General features: G+C 36.6%; 1 protein-coding gene and 1 long non-coding RNA gene across 6 annotated transcripts in view; one reads left to right on the top strand and one right to left on the bottom strand.

Moving 5' to 3' along the window:
• Positions 1-12,151, bottom strand: part of LRRC8B (leucine rich repeat containing 8 VRAC subunit B) — a 73,033-nt gene that overhangs the window by 44,026 nt on the left and 16,856 nt on the right. For 2 of the 4 annotated variants that reach the window (NM_015350.4, NM_001134476.2), the window contains exon 3: positions 3,865-3,921. The exons of the other annotated variants lie outside the window; for them this stretch is intronic. The gene's annotated coding sequence lies outside the window, so the exon portion shown is untranslated. The remainder of the gene's footprint in view (positions 1-3,864; positions 3,922-12,151) is intronic. 4 annotated transcript variants of the gene reach the window in all.
• LOC124904216 (uncharacterized) lies at positions 2,947-7,705 on the top strand. 2 transcript variants are annotated; one of them, XR_007066214.1, is made up of 3 exons: positions 2,947-2,976; positions 3,285-3,352; positions 7,302-7,705. It is a non-coding gene; the product is annotated as an uncharacterized LOC124904216 (long non-coding RNA). The 2 variants fall into 2 exon arrangements; XR_007066215.1 differs by lacking the exon at positions 7,302-7,705 and adding an exon at positions 7,028-7,089.

Below are 12,151 nucleotides of genomic sequence, written 5' to 3'. Positions count from 1 at the left end.
TTGACAGCAGGAAGCCTAATTTTATATTAGGGTATATATCTAGGTACCTTGAGAAATAAAACATAAATGGACTTCAAAATTAAAATTCTGAGTAGAAAAATAGTTACGCTTTAAAAAATTAAACTTTCAGATTTAGCCAGTAAACTGATGCAAATGGACAAAGTAATTAGATTTTAAGGAAGCAGACGTTTCCTGAAATTCTTAACTGACTTTTTCCAAAGAGAAATAAATTTGATTTGTACTTTTTTAGACTAGGTAATACCTGAGTACTCTGGTGGAATTAAATACTTAATGGTAAAAATACCACTTTTAGAATAGGCAAAGATTTTGTATGAAGCTGTAACACAGAAGAACAGTCATTTACAACACACACACAAAAGGGTGCCAGATATATTCTGGGCCAGGTTAAACATGCTGAGATCAAACATCAACTTAAGAATACACTGGGCCCTGAATCAATGGAAAAATCATTTGGCATTATGACACTCACCATGCAATCAAACCTCTGTTTAAAATCAAGTTACAATTACTCTAATTATGGACAAACATTTCATTTGTTGCACAACTGGTACCTAATCAAACACTTCTGTAGAAGAGATGATTTCACCACAAGGTAACTTAATTTCAGTGCGAAATAAGTCTTTTAAATTATTTTTAAAGAGTGTTTTTAACCAATTTACATGTCAGAAATTTTATTTCTATAAAAATTACTACATGAACTAAGTCTAAATCAAACAAAAATGCCTTCCTCTACTTTGAAACAATAGTCTTCTCTCATAAACATTTTATTCAAATATTTCCCAGCAACAGGCTTGTGTGCACTAACCAGGAAGTGAAACCAAATATGATCATATTGTGAAAGCAGAGTAAAATGAAAGAACACAATTGGAATTATCTGAAGCATTATTAAAATTTCATCTGAAAATCCAATTCCCTTGGAAACAACAATTTAATCAAGGAAGTAATAAAAGGAATTTCAAAAGCATAATTCTTCATTTTCTTGTGTGGCAGTGTCCCCAGTCTTCTATGCAAATATCTTTTCCTGTAGCCAGGCTGGCTCATCTGAAACACAAGCTTTCACCAACCCGCCTGGTGAACACAGGGAGCAGGGTTAAGCAATCATTTTCATGCTAGTAAATCAACTCTGGTATAAACGATTGCAATCTTTAATGACTTACTTTGGAGAAAAATGTATCTTTTGCTTCTTAGGTAACAAGTAAATCACATTTCTCTTAATTATTTTTCTGTGGTTACTGTCATTCCCTTTAATCTATTGTAAATTATAAGCTCTCTAAAACCAGAAAATGTATTTTACTGATTAGTCTGCTTTTAACTGACTCAGTAACCTAAACATAGTGAGAGTTATTATAAGTACCTAACGATTATTCTTATTGTCTAAGGATAGTGTTAGCAAACAAAACTCACTATGGTTTACATTTTTCTGCTAAGATGGATACTAAGTAGGATCATGAATTTCTGGGCTCCATTACCATATCTCTTATTCCAAGGAGATTGGGTGTGGGAGAAGGGGCTAGAAGACACCATGCAAAAACAGAATATATTCTCATTTACTAATTATTATTCTTTATACTTATTTTTAATTTTAAGCAGGATTTGAGTAAGCTTAGTATTATATACAGTACAATATTCTTATGAAAATGTCCTAGCAATCTAAATAAGAAGGTAGTTCCTGAACTACCTATGACTTCAGCAAGTGATCAGGTAGCCCCTATTAGACACTGCACAAACACAATGCAAATCTGAATATTAGTGCTACTCTGCAGACAAAGCAGACATACTGCTGCTCTGTATAAGAATGAAATGTAAAAGGAAAAAAAACTATGAATAAATAAGCAGTGACAGACAAATCTATTAGCACGGTACATGCATGTATATAAATATATATAATAATCAAATCATGTGGCTAGTGAATTCTAGAAACACTTGAGAGCCTACTATGTTTTAAGAACAGTGTCACACTTAAGAAACTGAGTCAATTCTATTGCCATGGTGTTAAGAGGTTGAAGAGCCTGGCTAGTGGGTCTCATTCAGAGCTTGTCTGTGGACGCACCAAAAGTATTGAGGCAGGCCAGACCGCTAGTCAGTCCCGTTTTCTTTGGGGACCCTCTTTTCTTGTTACTCCCTCACTCACTTTATCAAATACTGCACTTTCACCACAGAGCCTGATCCTTTATATTTATATTCATTGAATTCTCTTGACAGGGAGAATTCATTGAGCATTTGCTGTGGTATGGGCTGAATAAGATAAGAAAGTATATTTCATTTTCTATCTATCCTTAAAACACTTATAAAGTTAGGAAAATGAGAAATTTGTACAAAAAGTGAACAGGAAAAAAATGAAGGATTAAATAGTGGAGTGGAACAACTCTGAACATCTATATAATGCTCAAAAGTTTATGGAGCATTTTTTTCATAGTCATTTAAATCATACACTTGACTTTAGGATAAGGATACAAGCTCAGAGAGAAAAAAAATTAGCTGCTGATGACACATGGCTGGTGAGCAAGAGCTTGATCCTATAACTGACACCAAACATGGTGCTCTTCCAACCATCCAAAGCTTCCTCTTGTAAGATGAACAGGTATAGCTCAGGGAATGGAGAAGGCAACATAGATAAGGTATCTCTGAGCCGTTAGGGATATGCAGGGGCTGGAGCAGGAAAAAAATCTCCAGCGGGGTAGTGGGGAGGGAAAGAGCAGAGGGGTGTTGCCTGAGGAAGAGCAGTGAGGCTGCAGAGGATCTTCACGGCCAGAGGGGGACGACTTCACAAATAAATGAGGCAGTGAGGACATTTACGGTTGGAGATTCCAGAATATGAGAGTATGGCTTGAATTGACTTACAAAAGAGAACAATTATAGATTCTAAAATAGAATGCAAGCAATATTTTAGGAAAACTAACCTGGTAAGGCATGAGAGATACAATGGGGCAGGATCGGGGGCCGGGGGAAATGAAGGTAAGGAAACCAGGCAGGAACCTACTGCAGTCATTCAATGCTGAAGCAGTGAGAGTGAAGACCATGGTAGTATCAGTGAGACTGACCAGGAATGAAGGAATTTAGGCAGAACTGTGGGTTCTGGCTGACTAGAGAGCTGGGAAAAGGGAAGAGCAGTAAAGTTGGGCTGGTGAAAGGCTCTGTTATAAAGTGCTAGTTAATATTCCAATATTCAGTGGAAGACCAAGGAGCTAACTGGTGAATTTTGCCCTTTCATATCAAAGCAAGGCTAATAATTAACATAATTAATCTTTTATGCTTTATTAAAGGTTTGGCATAGCTAAGGTTTGACTGAGTACTGTTCTCGCAAGTGAACCTAGCGGGAAAGCTGAAGAAGGTGAGATGAAAAGGCCATTTAGGTCCAGACCTAATGAGACACAGGTACCATTCTATTGAACCCAAAAAGGTATTTGTGAAAGGGAGTGACTTAATCCAGTCAGCGTCAAATCTTAAATTTAAAAAGTTAGAATTTGCCACTTTGGTAGCAGCATGAACAACTCGTTAAAAAGGAGAAATACACATAGGGAGGAGATCAGGATAGATCAATTGTCCAGATGATAAACAGGAAAGGTGGCTTGAACTAAGATGTGCCTGAGTGTGAAGAGAAGAGGGGATAGAAGCAAAAGTACTACTATTACTTTTAAGTGCTTTCGAGCAGGTTCTCTGCTAACTAGCTTATGGGCATAGACTCTAGGGCTCCTTAGGTATCCCTTAGAAGGACTTGGTAGCAGATTAGATGTTAAGGAGAGTCAGGACTCAAGGACAAGTGACTTATCCTAGCTTTGGCCACAGGGTCAATGATGAAGGGGGCTAATGAGTGTGTTATTTAAAACACTGAGTTTGCAGTACCTGTGGGCCATCCAGGTAGTGAGGTCTAGTAGGCAGCTGAAAACACAAACTGGAGCCCTAGGGAGAGGAAAAAATATAAATGAGTTTGTTAAGCTGTTTTTGCTGAAGACTTGGGCCAATGTTGGACTTAAAGACCTGCACTTGGTAAAATTTTAAAAGTTATTTAAAATAAATAACTCAATGCAGCCTCAGTCCATCTCCCATATAAAAGAACTCATTTAATACCTTCCTTCCAGAATATTTCCATTTAAAGTTGGGACAATTTAGTTTTTTATGAAGATGACTGAATTCATTAAAAGTTTATATGTTCGAAAACACCCACATATGCAAATCCGCATCCACATAACTACAAAACATCTCTTCAAATGACTTCTACTTGATTGTCCAACTGGAGATAAATAGAATTGGAAGCAATCAAAGACATTCTTTTTAAAAATAACTTGCAGCCTCCCTATTGCAGGTGCTCATTGTCTTCCTGATCATGAACTGTCAACTCACTAACAAAACATAAGGGCATATTTTTCATTTCACTTCAGTGTTAAAGAGCTGCTCCCTTTCCAAGCTACTTCATCTTTACTTTGTTCTCTAATGGTTGTAGAGATAGTGAATATATTTAGCATATCAACAGGGTTAATAGAAACATGAAGGAATTTCTGATGTGGTATGTGTTGTATTTTTATAAATACCAATCTCCTCTCTTTGCTAGCTTTGATAGAGTTGGAAAATGTTATCCTTTGGGAATTTAATTTTGAAGAACTGCTCTGGTTTTGTTTTTCCTACATTATCTGTCTCCGTTTAATGTACTATATACTTATGTTGTTTATCACTTTTCTCTGCACAGTAAGCAGTAAGCTCTGGTAGCACAGGGCTTCTATTTGTAGGGCTCACTGTGGTATCCCATCACCTAGCCCAGATAGTAGGGGCTCAGTAAATAGTTTTTGAGTGAATAATCACAAGTCTGTGATTATCTCACTTCAGGAACTTAATATGTCCTTTTTTCTTAGCAATCACACCCCAATCTTCATGCTCCAACTTAATTTGGAACTATGACTTCTATTGTATTTATACGCCTCAAACAAACTCTCAGAATGTATGTTGTGGTGGGACCCTGCAGAGCCCTGAAGGGTATTGGTACAAAGGAATTAACATGGGAAAAACTGCAGCAAAGTGTCAACAAAGGCTCCCAGTTTCTCCAGGTGATTTTTCTGTCCAGCTCTGTCTTATGAGGAGAAGTTATAATGATCTTTCTCCTACACACACTCTTCTGACTTCTGGCTTCCCTGATCTCAATTCCTATTTGCAGTATCTGTTTCAGCCCAGGGTGAAACAAAACTGAGGGGTCAAAACAAACCTGAGTTTGCATCTGCTGTTTTCATTGCTTGAGGCTTTGAATTTTTTTGTCGTTACCTTAAGAGAATAAGCCTGTATTTCTACACAGACCAGAAACTCACATTAACTTAATATTATAAGACAGAATAGACTACTTTCCCCCTCAAGGTTCTGATTGTCCTTCTCTGTCCTCATTATAAAACCTAATAATTTCCTCACTACTCTGTTTGATGGGATAATCATAGTGACCACTTGCATTCATTACACAACATAAATATTTTTCCATGTCAACTGGATTTAGTTTGTATGCATTATTGCATAATCAAATCCAAGGAGAAACTATTACCATACTCCAAATTGATATTAAGAATGAAATTAAAACTTCAAACTTAAAAAAAAGATGTATTCTGAGTAATTCATGCTATAGCTTTTCCATTTGATGTCTAAATATATGCTAGAAAAAAATATAGTTATTTTGTGCTCTTTGTGAAATGTAATCAATATATAATCTAAGCGAGAACTTTTAAAATCATTTGGATTAGGACTAATTTAATTCATAGGCCAATAATTCCAAACAAATCACTTATATCAGCCAGGCAATATTTAGAAAGGCTGTCATCATCTGCATAAAAGACAATTCACTTGACAGCACTCCTTTTTTGGGCAATGACTCAAATCAGCTAGACTGAAAATAAATCTAAAGGGTACACAGCTGTCATGTAGCTGCAAGTAGCCTTCTGAGCAATTACTTGATTCATTTTTCCCTATTTGTACAACTGGTTTTGCAAACAGGATTGCAATCCAACAAATGAATGCCCCGCACCCCCTCCCCTCCCCGCCCACTATGAAGAAAGCTTTTTGCTGTCCTTGGGAAGGCTCTAGTGGATTCCTTTGCCCTGATGGGCATGATAAACTGCACATGGTGGTTTCTTGATTTTATTTAATGAGAAACAGATCTTTAAAATCAATGACCTATGTGAACCATTTACAAAATAAGTGCTCCAAAATTTGAGAATATGATTTTATCAAAGGAATGTTGGCATCAAAGTTTGAAGGAAAGACAGGTGCCAGACTGGATTGCTATCTATGTCTACTAGGTACAGGCAATTTATTTTCATTGTAACATTCCATAATTGCTGTTTTAACATTTTATTATGGAAAATTTTAAACATACACAAAGGTTGAGAGAGTGGTGCAATGAAACCCATCTGCCCACCACTCTGATTCAACACCACAATACTCACCCTCATTGGATTATTTTGAAACAGATTCTAGATATATTCTGTCTTATTTCAGTATGGATCTCTAAAACAGAAAGAGTCTTTAAGATATAACCATAATATCATAATAATATCCAGTGGCATGCTGGTAAATATTTAACAACCAGGTTTCTGAGAAAAAAAAAAAAAGGACCCTGGTTCTTTGCCATTTTCCATGATTCCCACCATGGCCAATTTCAAAGTACCAACATGATGTCACTGAATGTGGAGTTGAGAAGAGATGTGTCACACATCATTATACAGCACTTCTACTCTGCAGATACCTTAGACATAAATAACCTTAAGAGCATAGATAACAACAAATTATAGCAAAATAATTAGGAAGTGAGAGTTTTGAGTATTTATTTTACTTTTAGTACTTTAAGTTTGTACAATTTAGTTTTTAATGACTATGTTTAACTAGCTTGAAAATTCCTATAACACAACAATCAGTTTTCACAAGCTTATGTGTGTCAGCTCTAGAATCATTACTGAATCATATACAAATAATTAACAATTCCTTAATATTATCAATTAACCAAATTTCTGATACATCTCTTGTCTTTTTTACTTAGCTATAGAGAAATAGCTTCAGCAAGAAGGAGGAGGAACTTTGCTTCAGAAAGCTACACTGAGGGCTCCTTTCTGGGTATAGCTCAGTCAGCTGTTAGTCTGTTGCCAGGAGGTTGAGTCAGATGCCTTTGTGATTATGTACCTTCATATCACTAAGGAATCACAGCAATGTGTTTAATTTGCTTTTTATTGCCTATTCTTTGGCTCTCAAAAGACAAAGAGTTTGAAAGGGAGTAGTAGAGAGACTTGGAAGAAGGGAAAATACATCTATTCCAGGTAGACAACCATGAGCTGATGGAGTGTTCTGACAGAAAGAAGATGGCTAAGAAGATGTGAGTTACTCTTCCGTGCTTGATATATCCCACCATTGAAACTTGGTTCGCAAAAAGTCCTCTTTAAATGTGCCTTCCAGAACTGAATATGGCACATTAGATCTGACACTCCTGAAGCAGATGGTAAAGTGGAGTTACTGCCATTCTTGATAAGATGCCAACACTGGACTGCAACTCCACTTTGGGCTCACAGTCAAGCAGAACTCAAGTCCAACCAATGAACCAGTGCCTACTAGCACTCACCAAGGCTCCACAGCATACATTCACAAATCCTCCCCCACCATCAAATTTGGTACCAGGCCGCTTTTCCAACCCTTCCTACTATGCCTTTGAACATGCTCTCTATTCTGATAGGCTAGCCTAACCTATTGTTCAAAAAACACATAATATACCATTTTTATTAAAAAAAATTCTTACTATGGAAATTTTCTAATGTATATAGAAGTATGAATAATATTATAAGGGTCCCCCATATACCATTTACCCAGCTCCAACAATGATCAATTCATATCACACCCATGCCAGGTGTCTTGAAGCAAATCCTGGATGTATCGTTTCATCCGCAATGATTTCAGTACTGCATACATTCTTTCCTATACACCTCTGCTCAAACATTTCCCGTCCACCCCCTTCTTCAACTTTCCATATCTTATCACATCCTGCAAGCCTCACCTCCTACGATGTTTCCACTGAACTTGTGAGTCATATGCCTTCTTGGGACATCTGTCTTATTGTTGTCTTCTTGTTCTTAACTCTTAAGTTGAACACTCACTGTCATTGGCCTTGAAAGCAGGAAACCTCTCTCACCATACATATAGTGCAAGAATTCACGTTTAACAGGGAAAGAACCAAAGGATATCCAATTGGTTTTATAGAGTTTATTAAAATTTGACACAACAATTTTATTCAGCATATTAACCAAATTCTGTATGTGGGAAATGTCTTGGTAAATGCCTTGGACAGGGCATGCAGACACAGTATGACAGGGTGGAAAGAAGACTGGACACAGAGCTAAAAGGCCTGGTTCTTGTCCTGCCCTTCTGTTTACATGCTATTTTGGGTATATTGTGTAACTTCTCTGAGGAATAGGAATTAATTTCAGTCATTCTTCCTCTCTCCCTCTCTAAATTGTCGGAATCAAATGTGATTATTATGTAAAGATGATTTTATAACTGATAAAGTACACTGTTGATGCTCATCTTTACCTGTAAATGCAGAAATCATTGACCATATCACTAGACAACAAGAAGAGCTATTGGTTTGAATCCTAAATGTATAAGGAGAATAAATTTAAACTCCCAACAGGAAAAAAGGGAATGTGATAGTGCAGAGATCAGATGGGATTAAGAATCAAGAAAACTCACCCTGGGAGGAATGTAACAGCATACCTAGTATCTTTTTTAGACCTCAAAACCACTGCCTTATAATTAAACAAATTAGAAATTACAAAGAAAGCAATATATGTTTTCAACTATGTAAGAAAACTTCCTATTACGTTAAAAATTGAATTAAAAGGCAAAATTCAACATCTGATTTCCTCTTCAAATAAAACTTTCCAATTGTATCCAATAAAATGGTTATAATTTTGAGTTTATGCTCTCCTAGGACATTCTCAATGTCTTTGACTTCTCAGTTTTGCATTCTGCTTTTCCAAAGGAAAATCATTCATATCAAACTGCAAAGATCTATCATGTTACATCAAACAGTACTTAAAGTCAATATAATTGAGGTTTTTTCTTCCTCCAGTAGAAAAGAGGATAGATGGATTTATCAAGAAAGCACTGTTCTACAAACCATCCTGCAAACTTCACTACCATCCTGCGAGAGATCTGCAAATAGGCTTAGCCCATCTAAAGTACCCACTGGGATATTATTATTATTATAAGGTTTCTTACAAGCAAATAAAAATTACAGGCATTGGAGAAAAGGCTTAAATTTTGTAAAACTCTGAATAATCTAGGCCAACATAGGAAAAGGATTTTTCAACTTTGGACATTAATATGACTTAGCAATAGTCGATAAAAACAACAGCTGCTGAGCCTGGTAAATCCAAATGAGATTATTAGGTCAAAATCATAGAAATACACAGAGAACATTCCAAAATTCCCAGCACACTGACAATAAAGCACCCAAACCAGAATCTCATTAGGGAAAGAAACATTTTGTTTAGAAATAATTTTTTTTTACTACGACTTTACCATGTGTAACATCTCTGGGATGTTACTAGAGAGGAAAACAATAAGAATCAAAAGTGTAAACTACTGAACAATAGCTTCCTTCATTTCCCTTCCCTTCTCATGAAACCCTACTGCACACACCAAATAACTATGTATTCTTACACCTTGTTCTGCATAAACAGACATTTATAGAGATTTTAAAAATCATCTGGGCGCAGTGGCTTATGATGGTAATCTCAGCACTTTGGGAGGCCAAGGAGGGAGAATCACTTGAGTCCAAGAGTTCAAAACCAGCCTGGGCAACATAGCAAGACTTCATCTCTACAAATAATTAATAATAATAAAAATTAGCCAGGCTTGGTGGCATGCAACTGTGGTCCCAGCTACTCAGGAAGCTGAGGCAGGAGGATAGCCTGAGCCTGGGAGATCGGGGCTGGAGTGAGCCATGACAGTGCCACTGGACTCCAGCCTGGGCAACAGAGCAAGACCCCAACTCAAAAAAAAATGGCCAGGGATGGTGGCTCATGTCTGTAATCCCAGCACTTTGGGAGGCCAAGGTGGGTGGATCATCTGAGGTCAGGAGTTTGAGACCAGCCTGACCAATGTGGCAAAATCTCATCTCTACTAAAAAAAAAAAAATTAGCCAGGGCTGCTGGCATGTGCCTGTACTCCCAGCTACTCAGGAGGCTGAGGCAGGAGAATCACTTGAACCCGGGAGGCAGAGGTTGCAGTGAGCTGAGATTGTGCCACTGCACTCCAGCCCAGGTGACAGAGCAAGACTCCAACTTAAAAAAAAAAAAAATCAGTTTTTCAAAACTTAGATAATATTAGAATAAATTTTTTCTTGTATAATAGATTGTTTTATAATAAGAAAACTACCACTCACTGGCGTTTGTTACCTTCATGCACAACAGAAAAAGAATCAAAGAAGTTTTAGACTCCTAACAAATGAAATATGAATTTATACCTTAGACTTATGTTACTTTGAATACTTTGAGTATTGTTACCCATGATGACCAATTAGCATAAAAGACTTTTCAAGGTTATAGTCTACATGTCTCAAAATATACATTAAAAATGTGAAGGGCCATAGTTTTCTTTTACTTGTCTATTTACTGAATAAGGCTGAATTTCAGAAAATGTGAAGATTGAACAAGTTTCAGGCTATAACGAAAATTTAGGGGCTTTTGTGATCTGGTCCTGAGACAGCTATAATTTTTTCTATTTTGTCAATAGTGCTTTTATTAGATCAACAACTATGCAAGTCTAATTTTTCATCATTAAGTAATTTGACCCTACTTTAAAAATTACCAGGAAAAAGTAAATTTAAGTCTAGTTAACTGAACTGACAACTTACAAAAGATAAATCAGGTGGAGCTTGCCTTAATAGGTCCCCCCAGTACATAAGACAAAACAAGTCTAGTGTGAGGACACATAGGCCCTAACAAGTAGCTGATGTGAGGTTGAAGTAGTTGAATATGCTTGTATATTATAACCATAATGGATGCCAATACTCATGATGAGATAACTTTATGTTAAGTATTTTTATAAGTGCTTATATAAATTATTTAAAACTCTCAACAACCCCATGAGATTTTCTCCACTACAGATTGGCAACTGAGACAGTTATGTGACTTATCTAAACATGCACAAATAGTAAATTCATAATAGTAAAACGAGCATCAATATGAATATTCTTCAAAGAGATCTCTGAGAAAAATAAAAAGTAGCTTAGCTCCATGGAATGAACAACAGGCTAAACATGGATTCATTCATTCATTCATTCATTCACTCAGTCATTCAGTAAATATTTAGTGGCTGTTATGTGGTAAATGGCCCTGGAGAAGCAACAAAATAAACAAAACCCATGATGTCCTCAAACAGGTGCTATCTCTACCTCATGGAATTTATAGTCTGGTGACAGAGACAAAGATTAAACAAATCCTCAGTTATTTTATTATAATCACAGTAAGTGCTTCAGATGCTGTGGGGCAGGTAGAGGAACCACCTTGAAGACTCTGAAACTCATAGGAGACTGAGCCACTGTGAGAACTGAGCCAGAGAGCTCAAAAGCTTGCCCTAGCAGATGACACTCTTCTCTAGTCCCTTAGCTAAAGGTAGGTGCAGAAATAAATAATAACCAAGATGTCATGAAAGCAAGACATGTTCAAGGCCAGGAGGTCTCTGTCTAGTTCCATATTTTTGGTACACGAGAGTAGCCTTGGGTTTGTGTTCAAGTTTCAAATGCTCCCAGGATTTTACAACTTTTAAAGGTAAAAGCCATATATTACATTAAAAAATTTTAATCTGTGAATTAGTCATTTAAATAATATAATTTGTACATTATATCAAGAGAACAGTTACTAAAATTATCAGGAAAATTTCATTCTTGGTATAGTCAATGCTTTCTGTTCTGAAGAATGTGTGAAGGTGGCTACTTCAGGCATGTGGTAGAGTAGAAGTCAGCAAAAAGATGGAGGAGACTGAACTCTTATCCTGCCTACCATCTGCCTTAACTTTAGCCAAGTTATGGAGTCTCTCAGACAGCCAGCTTTTTTTTTTTTTTTTTTTTTTTTTTTTTTTTTTTTTTTGAGACGGAGTCTCCCTCTGTCGCCCA

Source organism: Homo sapiens, chromosome 1 (genome assembly GCF_000001405.40).
Source record: "Homo sapiens chromosome 1, GRCh38.p14 Primary Assembly".
In the NCBI taxonomy this organism is placed as follows: Eukaryota; Metazoa; Chordata; class Mammalia; order Primates; family Hominidae; genus Homo; species Homo sapiens.
The sequence above is the reverse complement of the archived record's forward strand: the minus strand, read 5'-3'. Positions and strand labels throughout refer to the sequence as shown.